General features: G+C 37.5%; 1 long non-coding RNA gene across 1 annotated transcript; it reads right to left on the bottom strand.

The window, feature by feature from the left end:
* Positions 1 to 1,586: 1,586 nt before the first annotated feature.
* On the bottom strand, positions 1,587 to 26,384 carry LOC124902023 (uncharacterized). Its single transcript, XR_007061111.1, has 2 exons — positions 25,724 to 26,384; positions 1,587 to 6,877 (listed from the first exon to the last, which is right to left on the bottom strand). It is a non-coding gene; the product is annotated as an uncharacterized LOC124902023 (long non-coding RNA).

Genomic DNA, 26,384 nt, shown 5'->3' with positions numbered 1-26,384 from the left:
TCAGTGTCTAGGACCATGGGTTGCCTTTCAGTCTTTTTTAACCTTTCAGTTCCGAAACATCATCAAAATAGAATCGAAGTATTGACCTACAATATCTGAACTTCCTTTGATAAATAGGCACAGTGAGAAAAGCAGCCTGAACCTAATTTTTCTTCCCAGTCTGTTGTTTCTTATCAGAAAGAAACACTTTGCTTCTGTAATCATTAGTAACAGCTATGAATTTCTTCACTCAAAATTGTCCAATTCAGCACCTCACTAGATTTAACTATTCTTGGCAGCCTCTGGCTGAGACCAACTGGTTTCTAATGATCATTTTCTTGAAAAGTGACCTGTCTTTCCTTGCCTGAGCTTGTCCCCCTGGCTCTCCCATAGCCTCCATCAGGAGGTTAGATAAGAAGGTTGTGGGGAGGGACAAGGGATCAAATCTGTTACTTTTTATAGAGGCAGAGTGAAATTAATTTCCTGTGAAAGCTGAGGACATTCCTCCATTAGTTTGGCTTCCTGCTCTGTGTCTTATATGCTGGGTAATTTTTTTTTCTTTTGGAACTTCTATGGGCCAACTTCCCGTGCCTGAGGCTGCTGAAAGAGATTTACAGACTCAGCTTACTACACAGCAGTGAACCAAGGATGATGATGAATGAACAGAAGAGAGATGCCTAAGCCATTCCTGAATGTTCTGAACATGAGTTCAAAGAAGCCTCCAAGAGGTGTCCTGGAAAGCAGTCACCCATAGAATTTTAGGGTTAAGAAAGACCCAGTGGGGAAAATATATTCCACCTCCATGTCCTTTGGGTCTCAATGATAATTCTCCCCAAATTGATCTTTCATACATTAGTCAGTATATACTTGTTGAGAACCAACTGTGTTGTTGCACATTGCTCTAAAGGCTGGATGAATCACACAATGGCCAAAAATACAACTCAAAGAGGCTGAAGCAGAAATGTATTATGGTTCAATCAATCAATCAAGCTAGACTATTACTGTTACTTTGAAAAACATGACATAACTTATCCATCCAGTATGCAGGAGTGATTCAATTTGATATCACAGGTTGGCCTGATTTTGTGGCACCTTATCAAGGCCTGAGAGAAGATACCAGTATGAGGTCGAAACTGCAGGAAGGTGATAAAGTGATGAGAATAAAAGATGCCAGATGCCATTACACACATCCATATTCATGTTACTCTGGATCCTGAAACTATTCTAAGTGAAGAAATTACCTATAGCCTTTCTTAACCTTTTGACATAAAATTATAAATTTTGCAAAATATAATACCCAGAATAATTTTATTTGATGTAAATTACTGCTTTGGACACTATACTTGTGTATTTTTTTAGTGATGAAAGAGAAAGATCAATTCATATTTTCATCTGTACCATGCTGTAATCTCCTCCAACAGAGAAACATCATCAGTGGTGTAGAAGAGCTCAGGGAAGCAAGGAGGGCTGCTGTGAATGACACCATGAATTTCTGAATGTGATGTCCCTTCAATTCATGAGGTCAGTTCTTTCTATTTAATATACTTCTGGAAGTATCAAATTAGTAAAAAAAAATTTTCCCATTTTTCCTGTCACAAATATTTGGCCAGGAAAAAAAAAGATTTAATCACAGACCAGCCAAAGTCAAATTCATAAATAATGTTATTTAAAAGGCGAGCGACCCCTATTCCACTCAAATGGCAAATCTTTGCATTATTCCTATTTGAGTTGATCTTGTCTGAATTTTTAATTTTCCTCTGTGTAAGGGAGAAAATCTTTTCTTAAAAACCTGTCTTGCTTAAAAGGCAACATTCTGATTCCTTTGAGAATCCATACTGTGTGGTATTATGATGTTTTGAAAGACAGACTCAAATAATATGTCAACTGACTTCCCTTACTTATCCTGCTAATGGTTATTAGGCATGCTTTGTAAATAAATTTGTAGTTCTCATGTGAAAATACTAGAAGAAGAAGATAGGGAATTCAGGTTTCAACTTCAAGATGATAATTCTAGGAAAAAAAAAAAACATTGAAAATTCCTCAACTCCAAAGCTATAATTACTGGCCTAATTTCTACTTTTAAATTCATAAACTCAGCAGCTTTTGTTTTTGGAGCTGGAGGGGAGAAGAAATGTTTAAACTACTAGAAACAACTTGCATTCTCTTTATTCCGTGCTACCTCAAGTTAGTGAGAAAGACAGAGCAAGGAAACCAAAAATGTGTGGAAACCTGGGGAAAGGCAGCGAGGTGGGAGACTATTGAGAAGAATAGACTGCTTAGTGGTGGTTGGAGGTACATAAAAATAGCTGAGAATCTGAAACCTGGTGTCTTGGAGGAAAGAGTCTGCAACTAAGTGACAAAAGAGGTGAATTTCTAGCTCAATTTTTGTATTCATTAGCTCTGTGATACAGGCCTCGGTTTCTGTACATATTTAACACATATGCATAAAGGGAATACCTTCCATATCTGCTATGCCCACTTCTCCAGATGAGTGACAAATAAAATCCTGAATGTGTCTTGTAAACTCTAACTTCTGGGATGGCATTAATTTTGAGCATTTAAAAACAGTCCTGGCAGGTACAATGCCTCAGGCAAAATGGCCTGCTTAAGGCTTGGGAATAGCGAAAAGCAGATAGAAAGGAGGGGTTTTTGAAGATAACAGAGCAAAGATAGAAAACTCTAAATCCTACAAATTAAAGTCAGCATTGTGAAGCAGGCCAGATGGGGACTGCACATAACCTTCTTAAAGGAGGAAACCACTCCTCAGTCCCAGGCTATCACTACCATTTAAGAATCTCAGCCAAAATTTTCAGCTTTTTCAATTACCATGAGAAGCTCCAAATACAGATATTCATGTGATATAAATGAATTTTAAAATTTAACATTCAAGAGAGATGGGAATAGGAAATTACTAGTAGATAAAAAAGGTAGAAAGAATGGGCATAAATTACCTGTTCTATAAAAAGGGGAAGACTGATCCTTGAGGGAAAAATGAGATATTCAGCTTAAACGTATTATACTTGCATCTATTTACCCAGCAAGTATTATCAAGTACTTGTGCATCCCATATATAGTATCAAAAAATCAATAATAATAACAAAATACACCATCTGGTATTCCTTTTAAGTCCTGTTCCATACATGACTCCTACTCAATACACATCCTCTCCTCCATGCTTCCGTGTTTCTGCCACATTAAACTTCTAAATATTCCTTGGACATAACAGACTTTTTACAGTTTCTTACATTCTCAAATTCTGTTTCTTCTGAGTAACATTCTTTTATGAATATTTCATAACAGAGATAAGAATTCTTATCTAAAGTCCAACTCAAATGTAACTGTCTGTATCATCCATTTTATGCCTTCCGTATGCAGTTGTTCACTGTGTTCCATACTTCCATAGCTGTTTGCTCCATATTTCCTTAATAGCATTTACCAAGTTGAATTAAAATATGAAATATGTTTGTCCTCCAAATCTATGAGTTTCTTGAAGTGAGGACCTGGAATTTTAAACTTGTTACACTAGTACATAGAGTGGTTAGTGAAACAACATGTGTTCTCCAGAAATATTTTTTAAAAGCATAAATGAGAGAGTTTACATTTCCACCTAAAATATGAAACTAGGAAGAGTATTGTTCAGCCTACTTTAATAAAAAGGAATGCATCTTTTTCTCTGTTGTCTCAGTACTAAATTCTTGTTTTAGCCTTATTATCATGCAAGCTTTTCCTACTCAGTCACAAGATGGCCACTGACAACTTCAGGCTTACATATACTTTGTACAGGACAAAGTACAAAATAATAATTTTTTCCTAAACCAGTAAAACATAAAGCTAGAGATCATCCACATAGGTTAAAATACAAGGAAAGACAATTTTTTTCTACTGAGAAGTGAGACACAAACACTTGTTCATTAGTGGCAAAGTATGAGATAAAAGACATGGAGTATCATACAAGCGGCTTACGTATAATTCAGCTAAAATTTTTAAACAAATAAAAGTCAAAGTGTGTTTTAGTCCAAGTATATAAAAACCCCCCAGAAACCAAAAGTCAAGGGAATGCTATTTACTTACTTTTACAGTGTTCTGAACACAAAGTATATTTACTCAAAACTGGAAAGGTATATAATAAAGCCAAAAAATAAAATATCAAGAGACAAAATAATTAATAGAATCAGATTCAGAGATGATCCAGATGTTGAACTCTTCCAACAGGTAATTTAAAATAATAGTGATTAAAATGTTAAAGTTTCTGGAGGAAAAGATAAACAGCATGCATAAACAGATTGGAAATTTCAAGAGTCATGGAAACTACAATCTTTTGACAAATGAAAAATCTAAGAAACAAACAAACAAATAAAGCAGTAGAGATGAAAACAAAAACATCTGATGGGCTCATCTGTAGATTCAGTATGGCCAGGGGAAAAAATCAGTGATCCAAAGATAAATCAATAGAAATAACCCACACTGAAGCATAAAGAAAAGGGAGAGAGGGGGAGAAACAAAAAAGAACACAGCATGCAAGACCTGTGGGAAAATTTCAAAAGGTCTAAGATGTAAGTTGGAATTCCAGAAGGAGAAGTAAGAGAAAATGAGGGTGAAATACATTTTCTAAAACTAACAAAATACATCAAATCGTAGATCTAAGAGAGTAAGATTATTTCAAGCAAGATAATACCAAAAAAGAAAAAAGAACACTTATAGACACCACATTAAAACTTTTGGAAATGAAAGATAAAGGCAAAAACTTGATGGAAGCTAGAGAGGAAAAACAAAAGACACAATGAATACAAAGAAGCAAATAGATGAATTACAGTAGACTTGTAATTGAAGATATGAAAGCCAGAAGACAATGGAGTGGCATCTTAAAAGTACTTCAGGGAAGAAAAAAGATACATAATATGCCTATGTCATGTATGTATTATATACATAATTTAATATGTGTTATTTTATACACATTTATATAAAATTTTCTATAAATAGGCTTTAAAAGCCTTTACATAAAATAAAGAATTTTAAAACACTAAAGCTAAGAGAAATCATTACCAGTTACTTCCACTGAAAGAGATATTTTTAAAAATTTCTTTAGGCAAATGACATATGATCCCAGACAAAAAGTTAAATGTACATAAAGTTATAAATATTTTAAGAAATTTTAAAGTGATAAGTATGAAAGATATTTTATCTAATTTTTAATTATTTTAAAATAAAATTAATTAAAGTGAAAATAGCAATCCATTGTGTGTAGCGAACCCTGCCCCTCTTCATCGCTGGTAAGAGAGGAGCTCCATCCTTCAAAATCTAGATGGAGGCAGCCACAGCCCCGTGACTTGTGCAGCAGCAGAAATGGCACCATATGAATGCAGTCAAATGCCTCTGTCTTCTTAAGCAGCAACCATTTCGGCCCACATGGTACCTGAGCCTGCCAAAGCCAAAGCTTGGGGGATTGAAGAACATGGAACCAGATGCAAAGAGCAGAGCCTGTGATGTGAGGTGCTGATGCAGCGTGGTCCCTCAGGCACAGGTGGTTCCTCTGATAATCTCTGAATTGCCTTGGGGCAGGGGTGAGGGGGAAAGGCTTTTTCCATTGTCTTAGACAAAAACTCCTAGCTTCCATTTAGATGATTGAATAATCTCATTTGATAGTCCTTTGGCCACACCCTTTGTGTTTTCTCCTGAGCAGGCTTTCTTTTTCCTTTCAATATTGGTAGGCCAAGGATTTCCCAAATATTTAAGTTTTGCTTCTCTTTTGATGAAAAATTTCATATTTAATTTCTTTCTCTTTTCTCACACTTTACTATAAACAGTCCAGAGAAACCAGGTCATCCTATCAATATTTTGTATAAATATTTTCTTAGGCAAATATTCAATTTTATAACTAGCAGGTTCTGCCTTCCATAAAACACCATGGCACCAGGATAATACAGCATACTTACTTGGCACTTTATAAGAAAGACGATCTCTCCTTCGTTGTCCAATAACATGCTTCTGACTTCTATCTGAGATCTATCAGAGTGGTCTTTACTATCCATATTTCCACCAAAGGCTCTACTCAGGATTACTTAGATTTTTTTTTTTTTGGACAGGGTCTCACCCAGGCTGCAGTACAAAGGTATGATCTCAGCTCACTGCAACCTCCACCTCCCAGGTTCAAGCAATTCTCCTGCTTCAACCTCCCTAGTAGCTGGGACTACAGGCATGTGTCAACATGCATAGCAAATTTTTGTAATTTTTTTTTTTTTGGTAGAGATGAGGTTTTACCATGTTGGCCAGGCTGGTCTTGAACTCCTGACCTCAAGTGATCCCCCCTCCTCGGCCTCCCAAAGTGCTGGGATTACAGGTGTGAGCCACCACATCCAGCCTACTTAGATATTCTAAAGGAAGATTGAGGTTTTCTCTGCAGCTCTCCTTTTTTTTTTTTTTTCTGAAGGCTCACCAGGATTGCCTTTAAATTCCCTTCATGCTAATGTAAGCTTTTTCTAGCATGCACCTCAAACCTCTTCTAGTCTACCCATCACCCTGTTCTCAAACCACTTCCACATTTTTAGATATTTGTTGCAGCATCACACTACTTCCTGTCCCAATTTTCTGTCTTATATTGTTCAGGTTGCTGTAATAGAATATGATAGACTGAGTGGTTTAGAAACAACAGAAATATTATTTCTCATAGTTCCGGAGGCTGTGAAGTCCAAGATTTGGGCGTGAAAAATTTGGGGTCTGATGAGGGCCCAGTTCATCGTAGATGCTGTCTTCTCACTGTAACTTCATCTGTTGGAAGGGATGAGGAGTCTCTCTGAGATCTCTTTTATAAGAGTACTAATTCTATTCATGAAGGTCATCCTCATGACCTTATCACCTCTCAAAGGCCGTCTAATACCATCACTCAGGATTTGGTTTCAACCTATGAATTTGAGGGAGACATAAAAAGGCAATTCAGACTCAGCTTGAATTGAAAAATTATTGTATAGAATACCATGCCTGGCCAGTCCTGACACACATGTGCCCTCCTGAAATGAAGAGAGTAATTGCCTTATTGAAAGTATATGACACTGGGAATTAGAGTTTACTGCTATTCACAGAAAGAAAGACAGAAAGAAGTAAGGAAGGTGGGAAGGAGAGAGAGAGAGAGAGAAAGAAAAAAAGAGGAAGGAAGGAAGAAAGAAGAAATAGAGAAAGAATGAAAGAGGAAGGAAGGAAGAAAGAGAAGAAATAAAGAAAAAGAGAAAGAAAGGAAAAAAGAAAAAAGAGAAGGGCAGATATGCACTAAGGTGGGGGTGCTTATATTAAACTTCAGCAAGGTTTTTCTATAGCCCTATAACTGTAATGAATTTACATATTCTTAACTTTTTGCACATTTTCTTCTTTTCCTTTTATACCTTGTTTTTTGTTGTTGTTTGTTTTGTTTTGTTTTCTTGTTTTGTGCCTTTGCATCATTTGTTTGCTCTGAAATTTCCTTGTATATCTTTTAATATTATTGACTTGTGCTTGTCCTTTTAGGGCTAAGATAAGGATTCTCCTCCTCTCAGAAACTTTATTTAGTCTTTCCAGGCTGGATTGAGTGCTCCCTCTCTTTGTTCCCATAATACCTTGGGTACATCTTTATTAGAGTATTTATCACGGTGCTTAATAGTTGTCTATTTACTCATCTGTCACACAACTAGGCTCTAAGGTGTTTTGAGACATGATAGATATCATTTGCTATGTATTGCCATTTGCCTTCTTTACCCTGCTTTTTCCCCTCATTATTACATGTCTGTTTTCAGAGTGCCTTAAAGATAACACCAAAGACTGGGTAATCTAGAAATAAAAGAGGTTTAATTGGTTCACAGTTCCAAATGGCTGAGGAGGCCTCAGGAAACTTACAATCACGGTGGAAAGAGAAGGGGAAGCAAGGCCCATCTTACATGGCAGCAGGAGAGAGAGAGAGCAAAGGGCGAACTGCCAAACACTTTTAAAATCATCAGCTCCTGTGATAACTCCCTTACTATCCTGAGAACAACATGGGGGAAACTGTCCCCATGATCCAGTCACCTCCCACCCGTTCTCTCCTCTGACATGTGGGTATTACAATTCGAGATGAGATTTGGGTGGGGACACAGAACCAAATCATATCATTACGTATCATCCTCTATGTGCTTATGTATATCTCCTTCTCTACCCATTAGAGTTCTCTGAGCTCAGAGGCTACTCTTTTTTTTTTTCATTGCTATAATCATGAGAGCTTAAAATGGCACTTGGCACAAAACTCAACACTTTTGGGTGTTGGAGAAGTAGAATAAATATACTGGACTAAAGTGGTCAGAGTACAAGTTATATCTTAGAGCAGAAACGATATATGGAGAACTAGACAAATTTAGTTGGTAAATATCATCAGTGCAAGGTCAAGCAAATTCAGCAGATAAATTTAACATTAATTCTGCAGAATAGCACAGGGAGAACAAAGAGGAGCCAGAGAGGATAAAGCAGAGGAGAAGAAGGAAAAAAACAAGAAAGAGAAAGAGGAGGAGAAGAAGCAAGAGGAAGCAGAGTAGGAGAGGGAGGAAGAGAGGGAGGAGGAAGAGGAGAATGCTGAGAAAGCAGAACAATGACAAATAATAATTAAAGTAGAAGCTCACAATTACTAAGCATTCTGTATCTGTTATTTATTTTAGCCTCACATCTAAATACAAAGGGAGGTATTATTATGTCTATTTTACTGTGAAGAAACTGAAACTTAAAGAGCTGTACTGCTGATTAGTAATGATAGACACATTCTAATCTAATATGTAATATTGTTCACCAGTAGGAAGAAAAAAGAGAGACAAGGTATACAAGTTAGGAGACAGGTGCCAGAAAATCTAAATTTCCAAAGACCATATCTGTTCTCATTGCTCCAAAAGTGAAGGTCCAGATAATACCTTAAGGGGTATACATGTAAGAAAATCACAAGGAAGAGATAATGAAAAAAAATTTTTTTAAAGAAAAAATGAAAAAGGGATATGTATGTCTTTATTCATTCTAAGGAATGATATCCTATCCTTGCTCCTGAAAGTGGCTTTTTTTCTTGAGCTTGTGACTATTATAATGAGAATCATTTCAAAGAGATAGAGGGTGTCTTAGTCTGTTTGGGCTGCTGTAATAAAATACCATAAACTGGGTGGCTTACAAATAAAAGAAGTTTATTTCCCACAGATCTGGAGGCTGGAAAGTCCAAAATCAAGGCATCAGAATATGTGATGTCTGATGAGGACCCACTTCCTGATTTGGAGATGACACCTTCTGTGTATCCTCTTGTGGTGGAAGAGAGAATTCACTCGCTGAGGCCTCTATTTTAAGGACAGGAAACCCAATCATGAGGGCTTCACCCTAATGACCTAATTACCTCCCAAAGGCCCTACCTCCAAATACCATCACCTTGGGGATTAGGATTTCAACATATGAATTTTGGTGAAATACAAATATTCAGACAATATCAGAGAGTAAGAAAGAGCTAAAGGAATGGCAGTGAAATTGAATGCCCCTATTTTCAAAGGGAGAATGTGTAGGAGAAAGCAGCTTCCAAAGAAAGAAGAATCAAAGGTTAAGAAAAAGAAATGATGTGAGCCTAAAGAAATATTCAGTTTAGCCCTCAGTATAATAGTGGGATTCATGCAATGGGAGTTCATATGCTTCCTGTGACACGCAGACAACAGAAAGAAACAAAGGGGTTGATAGGGGAAGAGAAAGATGTTGCAATTAAGACCCTAGAACTGAGTCTAACCTGGCCATCTGTAGCCAAAAAACGTTTAATGCTAGAAGAGGACATGAAGGACAAAACTAAATTCACACTCTCATAGCATCTTTAAAAGGAGTGTATGGGGTATAATTTGAACATGTGTAATAAATGTCAAGAACAGTGTGTCTGGAACATATATAGTAGGTCCTTACCTGATGACAAAAGTTTTGATCTTAAAATTGAATTTGAGGAAATTAGAGGGAATACACCTAAGATATCACCTGAACTAAGGGAGTGTGCCTGCACACACAGGCACGTGCACTCATAGACACGACTGATATTTATTAAGGGCACATGATACAGCTCTACCACATATTTACACATTGCAGCCATTCCAGTTGTCAGGAATCCATTCTGTTTGGTTGTTATCTATGACATTCTGTTTGATAAATATTTTGAATGATAATCATTGTGCACATGTAGGCACTCACACTCTTACCTGCTTGTACAAATGGGTTCTGTTTTCCTAGAGAGAAAGAATAGAATGAGGAACATTCATAAGCTTTGTAGTCAGGTAAACTGACTGTAGGATCTGACATTTACTAATCATATGACCTTGGTGAATCTTCTGAGAACACTCTTTATTCTCATACATAAAATGAGGATAACGATTTCACCAACTGCCTTATATTTTATTGAAGCCAAAATTATCATTTATGCCAGAATAGAATAAAAAGCAGTGTCCTGTTTTTTTCAAGGAGACAGTTCAAAGAATGTTTTGGGGCAATCAAATATACGAATTTTAGTGATATATTTTTAAAATCTAATGTCTATTTATAAAATTTAATAATTTGTTACACATAAATAATGACATATAAAATAATATACTAATTTGGAATTTTTTTTTTACACTTCTTGTTCATTTAAAAATTTACACAAACTCTTTATAAGAGACTTTGACATCAGTTCCTTCACAGTCTTTAGGGACAGTTAAAGTCATTTAATAGTTTTCCAGAGCATACTATCTCCTCCTCTAAATTGTTTGAGATATAGCATAATGTTTTTGAATCTGCAAAACATGCTTTTATTGTGTATTTTATACTATGTCGAAGATAATCTAGTCATACAAAATTGAGAAAATTGTTCGTTTATAATGTAGATACATATTTAAAATCTTTAAAAAGTAGTTTTTTTGTATTTCTTTGTGAGTAATCTTTAAAAGGCTTATTTATGACATTATTCAAAACTTACAATTGCAAAATGGAATACTACCTTCTCTTTTTACTGATTTTGTTAGGTGAATTCTGTATAATTATCTTTCCTAATTGGTAGTATTGACTGCAACATAAAGTAATTGAGAGATAATCATATAAGATGACTTATATCTTTACTAACGATATAGACATGTACTTGGGAGGGGGTGTTTCTCCTTACATTAAGACATATATACCTACGTTTTAAGAAACTGACACACAGTAAAATGTTAACTGTCTTCTTGTCTGTTTTTGTTAACTATTTAGTAAGTACTTTATAAGTCATTCCATAAATGGAATCATTCAGTTTTTCTCAACCAGTCCCTTTAGTTGAGTTTAAAATATACTATGTCATTGGGGGGTGTAGAAGGGGTTGATATGTTCCAGGTATTGTTAAGCAGAAGAATCTTGCTTTGGAAGATCAATTTTCATTCAAGTTTCTGATGTTATTAATGTGAAAATTGGAGAGTTTCAGTGTGCAGTGTCTGCGTTAAGCTTTTTTCCTACCTTGTGTATCACACATTAATAGAGGAAAATTGAGCCATACCTATATTTAGTGATTATAATGAATCACATGCATATGCATAGTAAGCAGATGTATATAGTAAATGACTGGAGTGAAGTCCATTTGGTTAAGGAGGGCGAATTTCTATTATTTTCATATATCTTTTCAACACAGTAGGTTGGCAATGCACACCCAAAACTTTCTCCCTCTAAATGTCTTTCCAAATATATTTCTCTTTCCTCTCCTGGACACACCTTTTACTCTAACTTAACTGAGTTTCTAACTATTTTTCCATAAAGCTTTATTCTTGTCTACCTTCAGGTTTTTCTTAATGCAATTCCTTCACTTGTAATAAAAACACATACATCCTTGGAATGACTCTCCATACAACACTGATTAGTTAAAAGCTATTTGTTTCTGCAATATTTTTGTTTATACATAGTATCTCAACATGCTACAGTATGCTTTAATATTTATTTTAATCACTTGTGCTTTCAGCCAGTTAGTTGGGGCAATGGGTTTTGGTGAGCCACATTATAAATAGCCTCAGGCAATGATGTTCTACCATGTTAATGTGAATTGAGGATGTTCTGCAATGTGCAACACATCTTATTCACTTTACTATGAGCTTTACTTTCTCCACTTATACTCTGGATATTCTTTAAGTGATGAGGCTGACAAAAGATGTGTAAGAGATAATGTGGATGTGTTACAAAGTAGCTAAACGGGTATCAGAGTGCATGTTAACTTATTTTTCAAGTATATGGTTGAGGAAATAGATGGTAAAGATGAGAGGGCAATTAGAAATTGGTACAAGTCCTCTGACCATGTGAAGTGTTGGAGTAGGTGGTCAGGTCGACATGAGCAGGGCAGGACAGGGGCTTCCACCACCCCTAGGAATGTCAGGTAACCACCAGGTGATGGTCAGTTGGTTGTTGAACCATCTGTCTAAAATAATAATTGGTTGCAGCTGGCACCAGGTAACAGGCAGTCTCCCAATGGAGAGAAAACACCTGAAGCTGGTGATCAGCAGCTTCCCAATAAGATCTTAGGAGTGGGACCAGTGGGCTCAAGCATGCACACTAAGAGGCAAAATGGTAGATTTTAACTGGTATGTGACCTTCTTCTAGGAACACTTGACTGGTAAGGAAAGAATGCTTCAAGCGAGCATGTGTACAATGTCAGTAAACACACTCTACATGCAGCCCCTCACAAGTGCTGGAGGTCACCACGCAGGCGGACAGGAAGAATCGGGGAGGAGATACGCAACCCCCTGGAAGCATGCTGACATATAAGATCCCAAGTCAAAAATCAAACCATGCACTTGATCTCAATTTGCACACTTGGTCCTCTTCTAAGTGTACTTACTTCCTTTTGTTCCTGCTCTAAAACCTGTTAGCAAACATTCACTTCTGCTCTAAAACTTGCCTTGGACTCTCCCTTTGCCTTATGCCCCTCAGTTGAATTCTTTCTTCTGAGGAGGCAAGAATTGAGGATGCTATAGACTCACATGGATTCAACACTGCTAACAGAAAGACATCATGACATCACTACAGTGTGGAAGATTGCAAAATTGTTTCAACACTAGTTGGCAGAAACATTGGCTAGAGGTATGCTTCAGGGGACTTCAGAAAACTGAAGAGAATAATTTCTAATATACTAGTACTAGAACCAGGAGCTCTCCCATTTTCTGGAATGTATCCCATCTCTCCTACATTCTTCAAATTGGCTGTGAGCTTATTCACTGAATGAATACCCTAATGATAAGTTAATGACTGGATTATGAATGAGTAAAAAATTATTGAAAATAGTAAGTGGCCATTAAAGACTAAGATTACATATTTAGTCTTTGTAGCTTGTTATTTGTGTGGCATGACTTTTATGTCCTGGTGTGAGGCCGTATATTTAACAGAATAGAGCAACATTAGATTCTGCCTCATTGACCAGTCAGTTATTCACAGTGGGTTCAATTCTGGTTTTCTGGCTTCTTTGCTCAGTTGCTTTTAAGGCCACACCTGCAAGAATTTATGTTCACATGTTACCTGAACCTCTGATTCCCAAATAATGGTTTCTCAAAATGATGATTCTTCAGCTTTTGCCACTCATCATATACTGGGAAAGATTATTCTATGTGAAAGTGCAGAAACAACATACAAATCAACAGGAGAGGAAGAGAGAGAGAGGAAGGGGAGAAGAAGAGGGAGAGAGAGAGAGAGAGTTACGTTATTCTCTGACGTAACTGGTGGAGAAATTTTGAAGACAGAAGGTCATAAATTTCGTAGAAACTTCCAATTCCTGATTTATTTCCTCATTATCAGACAGACTCTCCCCATTTGTTGTGAGAATGTTATAGTATATTATCGAAAATGAAAAGGATCATCTCGTAACTAGTATACATTATAATATACAGGCTATATATTATAATAATGTCATATTATCTTAGGGGTGATTCTGATTGGTCTCATTTGGTCACCTGCCCTTGCCCAGACTAATTAGTGATGCCAGTAAGATGTCATACCCTGATTGGTCAATATTGAATCTTGTGCCCATCCCTGTAAAATGAGAATAGGACACTTGGTTGAGAGCTCCTTATGGACCTCTTTAAGGTGAAAGGAAATACAGTTGGCCAAAGAAGAGATGAATAACATAGAACCAGAACCAGTGTATACATATATCTAATTATGTGCCTCCTAGAGCCCAAAAAATAACTTGAGTGACATTAAAAGTGCATTTTCTCATGCTGTTTGCTCCAATTTGACTCCTTTCTACCAAAAATTAACTTAAAAAAAAACCCTCTTGATTCCATACCAATCCATTTTAAAACTCCATGAAACCCCCAGAATGGAATGAACCACTCTTTCCTGTGAAATACTTTAGCAGTTTTTATCTAAATCACATTTTTATTTCAAAGCAATTCACCAAATATTTCTTGTACTTGCATTATAATGTAAGATATTCTGCTAAGGATGTACAAAAATGAAATGGTCCCCATTGTTAGGGTATTTAAATAACATGAGTGAGATTGTCATGCACATGATCGACTAAAGATGAGGCTGTTTTTGCAAATATGCTTTCAAAGACATCATGTACCTTCCTGTCTTTGTCAGTGCTATTTCTTCTATTTGCAATGCCCAATCACCAATCTTTCTTTCATATACAGGCCAAATATAATTTCCTCAGCAAATCCAAGAACAAAATACCCCTCACACTGGTATGTTTTTCCTATAAACACAAGACTTATAATTGTTATTGTGTGTGTGTGTGTGTGTGTGTGTGTGTGTGTGTGTGTTCTTATCCCACTGCAAGGGTCTGAATGGTAAGTGGTGCATTTATTTAATCTTTGTTTCCCTACACCTAACATATTACTTATAGAATAAGCCCTCATTAAATAGGGAATAAACATATTTCTTGCTTCTTACGAATTTTAGGTCATTTAAGAGCCATAAGCATGGAAGGTAGTGTACTATGAGAGAAATCATAAATGCTTCATAATCTCAGAGGTCTTTGTACTCTTAACAACTACCTTATATGGTACTATCAGTATTCCCATTTTAGAGATGCAAAAACTGAGGCACAAAAGTGAAATACTTTGGCCAAAGTCCTGGGAATTTTTAATGGCAGGGCTATGACTTGAACCGGCCAGTGCAGTTTCAGAGGCAGGGCTCTTCACCATTTTAAACTGCCTTTCAAAGATAATATTATATATTTTTAAGTGCATACTAGATTCCTGGGGTTTGGCAACTATTTTTCCATTTCCTGTCCCTTTTTAAATACTGACTTTACTCCCTGCCTTAACTGGAAAGAGAATAAGAATGCAGTGCTCATGGAAGTGTAGATTTTTGCTAAGATAATACTCTTCCAAAGTAAATAAATAAATAAATGGTCCGTTGTTGAGAAGCTTGCCTACATCTTCCTAAAAAATGCTAAACTCTAATTCTGTTGGTCTACTTTACAGCATTCTGGAGATAGCATTTTCACTTAATCACATGTGAATTTCATTGAAATATTAAACATCCAAATGAAAGTGTAGCTCAGGGACATTCACTTATACAGAAAGTAGAAAGAAATCAGCAAATGCCAAGTGACATAGTCAGAGGTCTCTGGCCCAGACCCCCATGGAGCTTTCATCTGCTGGAAGCATGTCACTCATCATGGCATTTTGTGGGGAACCACAACTAAAGGGCCAAGGCACATTCCCATAAAATGGTTATCAGGTGCAAGACTGCAGTTTCTGGAAGAGCACCCTGTGGTTTCAAATTAGCAGTTCACTGAAGAGCTGAAGACAATTCCAGCAGCCTCCTCCTCCAGTTCTCTCCAGAAAAAGGAAATTAGTCAAACATAACAGTGGAGATAAGTAGTTCATTCCTTGTGATTGTCAGCTACATAGATTTACCAAAAGTATTGGTTTGGAAATAAAGGTAACAGAACCTCATATATGAGTGAACTAGACAGTTATAGGACAACCTTTAGCTCCCAGTGACATTTGAGATCTAAACACAAAATTCATGGAGAAATGGAAGACACTAAAGAGACAAACAGCTATGCTTTGCCTTCATTTACAAATAAGAAAATGTAGGCCCAGCAAGGTGGCTTGCTTTTTACTAAGATCACATGGGCCTTATAAATAAGCATATCTCAAACATGGTGCCCCAGCTCTAAACCCAGTGTTTCTTCCACAACAAATCAGTCTGATATACTCATCATCATCACTGATGCTAAGTGCATCATCTGTGACAATAATGGGAGGGTCCTTTAACTTCTTAGAGCCTTAGTTTTCTCATCTGCAGTGAAGGAAATTGCTTTTAAGGCTGTATTATGCTTTACAGATAATGCATGTGCAAGAACAAAATTGGCAATGGTTATTGTTTTTATTTTACCTCCATATACTCTTTGGGAAACTGAACACAAAATAAAATCAAGTATGTTCATCAAGTATGTTCACCCTGCCTTAGTTACACAGTAATCCAAAATCTAACAAATTTTTCTGCACATACCTAGCTGATGTATTATTTTGTTTCTCGGTTGGTTGGTTGGCTGGTTTTGTCTTGTTTTCTCTACCAAGCCAATAAAGAGAACTATAAAAGTTAGAGATGACACAAGAAAAGAACTACTAGAAGTCATGGCTATGATTGACCTAGCCATATTAATCATGCCATGATCTGTATTGACAGGAGATAGCTGTTTTGCCCAGGTTCTCAGTGTATTAGTCCTTTGCTTTTCCCTTCTTCTGACATAGCCAGTATTTTAGTGCATTAATATGAAAAGAATGTAAGGTAATAATAGAATTCTTGTAAATTAGAAAAGGGTAATGTTTCCAGTGAGAATGACAACACTATTAGTGGTGAATAACTTGGCCCTAATCATTAAGCGTTTGCATAGTGGAAAGAGAACAGGATTTGAAGGTATGTGATATCTGGATCCATCACACAGTGTGTGACCTTGGTTATTGGTCACTCTGTGGTTTCATGGCCTCAAGTGTAAAATAGAGATAATAATTGTATCTAGCTCATAGAGTACTTGTGAGGTTGAATCACAATGCAATGACCTTGAAGGTAACAATAACAACCATCATTTATGTGTCATGGACCATGTGCCAGGCACTGTACTTATTGCTTTTGATGTTTCATTTTGTTTTCATGATGTCCCTCTAAGAAAGATATTACCATTTGTGCTGGAAAGCTAGAGGAAAGGTAAGCCCTGGAAGTTGAAGTGATTTGCTCATGGCCACGTAGTAAACGGTAAAGCTGGCTTCTGTACCTGGGTCCTTTGATTCCAAGACCACACTTTGTATCATTATTCTATTTTGCCTTCTTTCTGGTATGTGATAAATGCTCAATAAGCATGTTTCCCCCTTTCTTTTTCTTCTGTTTCTATTAGTCCTCAATTATTTCATTGGCTTTTTACTAATTTAACAGACTTCACAAAATTGTGAGAATCAAATGATTATATGAACTCCTTAAGAACCACAAGCAGAATTTCTTCCAAGCCAGTTGTTTGAGTGAGATAATATGAATACAGCACCTAGCAGAATGAATGAGGCTCACAAAAGCTCTTCATGAATATTTGTTGAATAAATATTAACTTAGAGGCAATGCCTGTGACATTTGGTAAGCTGTGACATTTAGTTATTGTTGTGCTCATTGTTCATTTCATAACTCGCTTCCAAGTCTCTTAATAGGAAAAGAAGGGGGCCGGGCGCGGTGGCTCAACGCCTGTAATCCCAGCACTTTGGGAGGCTGAGGCAGGTGGATCACCTGAGGTCAGGAGTTCGAGACAAGCCTGGCCAACATGGCAAAACCCCGTCTCTACTAAAAATACAAAAATTAGCCGGGCATAGTGGAGGGTGCTTGTAATCTCAGCTACTCAGGAGGCTGAGGCAGGAGAATTGCTTGAATCCAGGAAGCGGAGGTTGCAGTGAGCCTAGACTGCGCCACTGCACTCCAGCCTGGGCAACAAGAGTGAAACTCCCCTCTTGGGGGAAAAAAAAATATGAAAAGAAGGTACAGAGGAAACAATTTCCTGAGCTCACCTGGGCCAAGATCTCAGGCACAGTTACCTAGTATCAGTACAGATGCTCAAGTTGCAAACAATAACTTGGAGGACTTCATAAATGAGATGATGTCATAACGGGCACATTCTCCATGTGCTGGAATGGAAGTGTGAGGAATTGCTGTTGGCCTGTGACAGAACTAGGCATTTTTCCACTTAGGGAATTAAGTTCATCCTAGATCCTAATGTTAGTGCATTCTCCTAACCAAAGGAATTTGCATTAGAGTAGGCAGCTGCTTTCACCTCTCCAGCTGCACCTCCTCAACAAACTCCATTGATATTTATGTAAAACATAAGCTCCGATTTGGGGTAATTGCTAGATTAGCTAATAACAGAGGCCTCTCCTTCCTGTTTCTATTACCCCTTGAATAGCTATTCTGATTGTTAAATCCATTTTTTATTACAAACAGAGAACAAATTTCAGCAATTAGTGAACATTTTGTAGTTCTTGACCTGTTTGTAAGAGCATGTTTCTGTTGTACACATTATATGAAAAGTCAATAAGTAAGGCATGCTTCGTTAATTGCAGCTGCTTTTATGTGTGCCAAGTTTTTTTTTTTTACCACATGCACTAACTTAAAATGCAGTAGCTCAAAGGACACAATTTAAAAATATGTTTACTATTTACAACCAAAGCTGAATAACCAAAGAAAATTATTCTAAAATTCCATGTGATATTTTTGAAGAAAAAAAATAATTAACCTCAGAAATTGCTTAAGGAAAAACAGTAGTCAGCTAGAGCTTTGCAAGCATTTCCAAATTGTATCAGGTCAATCATTTAATAGTGCCTTTGAATATGTTTCATTGTCATAAACATAACATAGTTCATTCAGTCCATTAGTTACACATTTTAATACCTGTATTGAGATATAATTTACATGCCACAAGATTTGATTATTGTAAGTGAACAGTTCAGTAAATTTTAGTAAATTGATTCAGTTGTACAATCATCATCCAAGTCCAGTTTTAGAACATTTCCATTAATGTAGTTTCCTTGTGCCTATTTGCAGTAAATCCCCATTGCCTCCCCTAGGCAACTATTGATAGACTTTGTGTCTCTCTAGATTTGTCTTTTCTAGAAATTTCATACAAATGGAATCACACATCTGTAGTCCTCTGTATCTAGCTTTTTTCATTAGCATAATGTTTTTGAAGTTCATGTTGTAGCATGTATCAGTGCTTTGTTTCTATTGCTGAAGAGTATTCTATGGTACCAGTATAAATTTTTAAAATTCATTCTAATGGGATTGCTTCCACTTTTTGGCTACTATGAATAATGCTGTGATGAACAGTGTGACTCACTTTTGTGAGATGTATTTGTGAGCAGAAAGTACTCCCTTCGCTTTGACTTTGAAATCATTCATGTGACATACCTTGGTCAAAGGGATAGTAGCAGATGAGATGAAAACATAGATGTGCTTGCTGGGTTGGGGTTAGGGTTAGGTCTCTCTCTTGCACCTCTGTTATCATCATAAGAAGAGTTTTCCAGGCAGCTATTGCCCTTTCAGACTGGGCCTAAGCATGAAAACATGTAGACAAGACCTGAGTCCAGACCACAGTGAGGAGCCAAGCCCGGACTCACTCCCATTCTGAAACAAAGCTGTGTAGCTGAGCTCAGTTTAGGCAGTTAATCCCAAACTTGATGGCAGAAGTATGATGGGTAATAGTTGTGGCAAGTCAATGTATTTTAGGGTGGTTTATTATGCAGCCGTATTGTAGCAATAACAGATGAATAAAGAAGACATGCGTAATCTGGCTACTTCTGCCTCACCAAACTTATTTCATACTATTTTCACTCTTCTAGTCCTAGCCACTTTGATGTTCTTCTAGACATTCAAACTTAGCATCTGCATGCCTTCCTCAGGTTCTTCTTTATGCATGCTATTCCCTCTATTTGGAATATTGCTCCTCTTCCCCCTTGTGTAATGAATCTCCACTGAACCTTCATACCTCGATTTAAATATCTTTACCTTGGGAAAGCCATATTCGCATTTTCTGAGGAACAAAATGCTCCAAAGCCCAGTAGTTTAAAACACCAACTTATTCTCATGAAACTGTAGGTCAACAACCTGGACTGGGCAGTTGTTTTGCTTGGCCCCTTGGATCACTGATGCAGTTTCAGTCATACAGAAGATTAACTAGGAATAGACAGTTTACGTTTCACTTCTATGGCATGTGCTGGCTTTTAGCTGGGTCATGTGTTTCCAGCAGGCTAGCCCATGATTCTTCACATGGGTGCAGGGTCCCCAGCAGCAAAACAAAGCAAATCCCAATGCACAAACACTTTTCAAGTGACTGCTTGCATCACGTCTCCTAAAGTTTCATTGGTGAAAATAAGTCACATGGCCAAGCCCAGAGCCACTATGGGAAGAAATTACCCAAGACATACATACAGGGAGGCATGATGCATAAGAGGCCTACAGTCTTCTCTTTGACTCCAGTGGTTCATTTTCCTCTAACATGCCAAATAAATTAACACCCTAGGGAGAGCCCTAAAATGTCATTCAATCATGATATCAGACCCAAAGCTGTTAATCTCATAATCCACATTAGGTCTAGATACAGATGAAGCTTCTTGAGGGTAGCTCCTAGGCTATGATTCCCATTGATTCAGACATGACAAATGAAAAGACAAGTTACCTACCCTCATATATGTAATATACAATGATGAAACAGGAACAAAACATTCATAGTACTTTCATTCAAAAGAGGAAGGAATGGGAGGCAAATCATAAAATAAATCATAAAATAAAGCCAAGTACGTGTTGTCAGGCCCCCTACTGTGGTTTTGCTCATGGGATTGGATCTATAAACTACTATTTGCCTGTGCTCTTTTTTTAAATTATTATTTTATTTTATTATTTTAAGTTTCGGGGTATATGTGCAGGATGTGCAGGTTTGTTACATAGGTAAACATGTGCCATGGTGGTTTGCTGCACCTATCTACTCATCACCTAGGTGTTAAGCCCAGCATGCATTAACTATTTGTCCTGATGCTCTCCCCCACCCACAGCCCTCCCCAGACAGGTCCCAGTGTGTTTTGTTCCCCTCCCTGTGTCCGTGCGTTCTCATTGTTCAGCTCCCACTTATAAGTGAGATCATGTGGTGTTTGGTTTTCTGTTCCTGCATTAGTTTGCACCTCATGCTATAAAAATTTTGTAAAGTAGTTATTTTCTTTTTCAGGCTGCCTCTTATCAAAAACAAAAATTTTTTTTTGGTAGGGGGAAGGGTCCAGAGGACGGTCTCAATTTCCTTTAATCTCAGATTGTATAACTTCCTTAAAACCTTTTTGGGTTTGCTATGTATCACCTTACATCCCTTTGTCTAGTACTCAAAATCCACAGCCAAAATTCTTTTTGGGAAAGCCTTCTCCCACTACATTTTAGGGCTGTTTTGAGATTAAGCTTCTATGGGAACATGCAATTAAGATTTTTAAAAGCAATTTTGTTTAGCTGAGAGGGTCTACTAAGTACAACTTTCAATCTTTTAGGGATCTTAACAAGGAGTTATATCAAATCACACTCTTGATTTGATCTTTAATCTGAGGCCATTTCTTACATAAGAAATCTTATTGCTATCTGGAGAGACTAAAGCTGTGAAACAGTTTTATTTTTCAATGTAGAAAATTCTGATTACATTACAATTCCTTTGAATATTGCTTGCAATCTCAAGAGTTCTCTCTTTAGCTCATCTCATGCTTCGCCAGCCTTTTCAGATGCAGCTAATGGAAGCCAATTGTCACTTTCAAAGTTCTTCCTGGTAATATCCTTAGCCAGATCTGCAAATTCATTAGGAATATTTTCTTTCAGCTAACTCAGATGACAATTTGACACTGCTGCATAACACAAATCAACTGTTTTCCAATTTCCAAAGGCAGTTTCCTTAGCACTTTTCAAGACCATAAAAAAGTTGTGTTCACTACTTTACAAGATGTAAATAACAGCTTTCTCACAACTTTTTCGTTCTCCACCTACTGTCCATTCCCAAAGCTCATCACTCCTGTTTTAGGTTTTATGACAGCAGCACTCTTCTAGGTATTTTTTCTATGTCAATTAGCCTTTGCCACATAGCAAACCATCCCAAAGCTTATTGACTTAAAAGGATGACCATTCTATTTGTTCATGACACTTTGGGTCATAATTTGGGCTGAGATTAGCTGGATAGGTCTTCTGGTCTCACCTGGGATCATTTATGCAGCTGCAGCCATTGTCATCTCAAATTCAGCTGAATGATTTGATTCTATGCAGCCATAAAAAAAGAATGAAATCATGCCCTTTGTGTTGCTATAACAAAATACAACAGATTGGGTAATTTATAAAGAACAGAAATGTATTTCTCACAGTTATGGAGGTTGGGAAGTTCAAGATCAAGTTGCTGGAAACTTCATTGTCTGGTGAGGGTTCTGTCTCTGCTTTTAAATTGATGCCTTGAATGCTGCTGCCATTGGCATTAGGACATAAAGGGATGAACTCCCTCTGGCAAGCCTTTTTATAAGGGCACCCACTCCCATTCATAAGGGTAGAGACCCTATGACATAATAGCCTTCTAGAGGGCCCACCTTTTAATACCATCACTTTGGTGATTAGGTCTCAACATTAATTTTGGAGGAAATACCACATTCAAGCCAAGGCAGATGTTTCACTCATACACCTGGCCATGGGTGCTAGCTGCTGGTGGGGCAACATATATCCTGCAGGTCATCCTGAGTTTCTGCATGTGGTAGCAGAAGAGTTACCAGCAGCAAGAGAAGACAAGCCCCAGTGCACAGTGCTTTTCATACCTCTGTGCACTTCAGGCTTGCTTATATCTCATTGACCATTGACCAAAGAAAACCATGTGGCCAACCCCATAGTCATTGCAGAAGGGGACCTCACAAGGGTATAGTCAGAACACATATAATTCATTGATGACCATTGCTCTAACAGTCTACCAAGAAGCATTTTGTGACAGCCTAGGACTACAGTATGATGCCTTGTTTTATACGCATAGTACCCTGTATTTCTCCTTTAAATAATCAATATTATTTTAATATTTAACTTTTGACTCCTCGGCTTAATGTATGCTCTTGAGGACAACAATTATATCTTGTTCACTGCTGTATTTTCTTTTATTTTAATGCAGCCGTGCTTGGATCACTGCTGTATCTTTAACATAAAAAATTATGTGCATGATAAGCACTGATGAATAAATAACAGGATAAATAGATGAATGAAAACAGTCCTAAAGGAAGCTTTACATCTATCACATTTTCTTTTCTTTAGCATCTAACATATCTGAAATAAGTTGCACATTTATTTGTTTGTTACCTGTATCCTCTTCTAGGATATAAATTCTGTAATATCAGGAACCTTGCCCTTAATGTTTACTTTAAAAATACCTGAACAAAAACCAACAGATGTTGGCAAGGTTGAGGAGAAAAGGGAATACTTATTCACTGCTGGTAGGATTGTAAATTAGTTCAGCCACTGTGGAAAGCAGTTTGGAGATTTCTCAAAAAACTTAAAACAGAACAACTGTTCAACCTAGCAATCACATTGTTGGGTATATATCCAACAAAAAATAAATCGTTCTACCAAAAAGACACATGCACTCATATACGCCCATCGCAGCACTATTTACAATAGCAAAGATATGGAATCAACCTAGGTGCTCAGCAATGGTGAATTGGATAAAGAAAATATGGTACATATACACCACAGAATACTATGCAGCCATTACAAAGAATGAAATTATGTCCTTTGCATCAACACATATTCAGCTGGAGGTCAGTATCCTAAGAGAATGTAGGAATGAAAAATTAAAAATTGCAAGTTCTCACTTATAATTGGGAGCTAAACAATGGGTACTGACGGACATAAAGATGGCAACAATAGGCACTGGAGACTACTAGGGAGGAGTAACGGAAGGAGGGAAAGGGTTGAAAAACTAACTGTTGGGTTCTGTATTCAGTACCTGGGTGTTGGGATTCATCGTGCCTCAAACCTCAACATCATGCAATATACCCAAGTAACAAACCTGCACATGTATCTCTGAATCTAAAATAAAAGTTGAAATTATTTTTTTTTAAAGTAGAAAAAAAGTAATGTTCTAGGTCTTTACAGTCATACACCACTCACTCACTGACTCACCCACAGCTACTTTATGGTAGATGCTCCTGTACGGGTGTATCAATTTTATCTTTTATACTGTATTTTTACTGACCATTTTCTATGTTCAGATATTTTTAGATGGAAAAATACTTACTATTGTGTTACAATTGACTACAGTATTCAGTATACTACAATATTCATTACACTAACAGTATTCAGTACATTAACATGCTTTACAGGTTTGTAACCCAACAGCAATAAGCTATACCATATAGCCTAGGTGTACAATAGGCTAGACCATCTAACACTTTATGATATTTGCACAATGATAAGCTTGCCTAACGTCACATTTCTCAGGACAATCCCTGTAGTTAAGAGACGAATGACTGTACTGCTAGAGGTGCCTAAACCATGTTGGTGAATTAGTACAACAGTCTCCATTGTGGTAATCGAGACAAAATGTATCTTCCTTGTTAGAGAAGTGCTTCCCCATCTATTTCTACTGCTGCAATGACAATTTCCTGATCATGTCTAGAGGAGATGAAATAGCACTGGAGTCACGGGCAGCCTCTGCCCAGCTTGATAAAGCTAGCTAGCCTTTATAACAGTCATTCTGGAAGGCCAGTGACTCGGTGCATCAAAAACTCTCAACGGAAGTTGTTTATTTATACTGACTGCACACTTGCAAACCTGAGTAACTGACGATTTTCAAATAGTCTGGTTTCTGTACATTTGCCAGTTTCCAAAGCCTTTTTTAACAAAATTATGGGAGCCCATTGTTTTGGACTGAGCTCCTATACTAGGGCTCAACAGACCAGACCAGACCAAAATGGAGTCACTCATGCTAAATACCGCATAATCAAACTGAAACTGTAAGGAAACAGATAAATCCTGAAACGGACAGATCTTTTTCTCTGAAAACCGGAAGTTCCAGTCTACCTGAGTCAGAGTAATAAGGAATCCATCTCGGCTTTAAAACCTATAAAAAAGTAAATGGAAGTAATCTGATGTTAAATACGTGTGTGTGTGGGTATGTTTGTATTGTTCTGTTTCCTTGTTCCCATCTTACAAATCCCATGTTCTGCTATTGCCCAATGGGAACTCTCACTCTATTTTATAAAATGAAGGCCACCCTGATTGATGAATTGTGAATAAATGTCAATTAGATCTGTTGTAATTTTGTCTTTTGACATCTTTTAATGTTAAAATTTAGTGGGCCAGTCTCTGTGCTAGGTACATACACTATCTGCTTGCTTATTCACCTTTACACACCTCTGGTGGTAAGCATTATTAACCCGTGAGGCAGATAAAGAAATTGAAGCCAGGTGGGGTTAAAAAAATCTGCATGGTAGTAAGAATGATAGAACCTTTTCATTCATTTCACATTATCTGAATATCTATACACCAGGCCTAAGTTGGGCCTATGCTTGAAGACAATTACTTTGCTTCCTGAATCTGAGCTCTTTCTGCCAGGTCAGTCTGGCTTCCAGAAAGGGGGCTGGGGAGAGATGTAGGAGGGAAAGTAGGGCTGGAGAGTGTGAAAGACAAACTCTCCAGATTTGCCTGTGAACAGCCCCATCCCATCTCCTTTTATTCTTGTACCCTACCCCCCTCTTCCCACCCTCCCCCACTCCCTCCACCATGCCCAAATCCTCACCTCCATGACCCAGGCAGAAGTTCTTTCTCGAACATCTCCCTTGAAAGGATAACAAAGTGTTTTCGCTGGCGCTGTTGTCATGTGATCAAAGCATAGCTCAGGAAATGGGGTCCCTCAAAAGCTGTTTATCTAAAATCTCTTATTTCACCAGTTGGAGCATTTTAAGAGAACATTCTGCGCTTTCTCTCCCAAGGGCAAATATTTCAGTTACCTGTGTACTAGGAGCCAGGCTGAGGCCACACATACTTTTCACAGTAAAAGAAAACACAGCTCCCCTGTGAGAGCATTCCTTTTGTGCTCATGTGCACCCCCGGCCCCCAGCCCCGCTTGGAGGCCATGAGGAAATCCTGATATAGTCTCTCACAGAAAGTTTGAGTGATTCTAGGCAGGCAAGATTGAAAGACAAAAAGCTCTAAATCCCACTTTAGGTGGGAGTGTTTTTTATTACTGATAAAAAACAGAGTCCCTGTTCTGGGTTATTCAGATGAGCCCAAAGTAAATATTTATGCTTTCAACTGATGGATCTGTTTTGAGGAGTTCTGGGACTCCCAGACAACCAAGCTAATGGATCGGTTTTTGCTTCCCCTGTGTGAGAGGAGGACTGGGCAAAATTATTTGGCAAGGGGAGCCCTTTTCCTGTGGCCTGCTGGTTGGTATGTGT

This window comes from Homo sapiens, chromosome 8 (genome assembly GCF_000001405.40).
Source record: "Homo sapiens chromosome 8, GRCh38.p14 Primary Assembly".
Taxonomy (NCBI): domain Eukaryota; kingdom Metazoa; phylum Chordata; class Mammalia; order Primates; family Hominidae; genus Homo; species Homo sapiens.
Note: the sequence above shows the minus strand (reverse complement) of the source record. Positions and strands in the feature narration are given on the sequence as shown.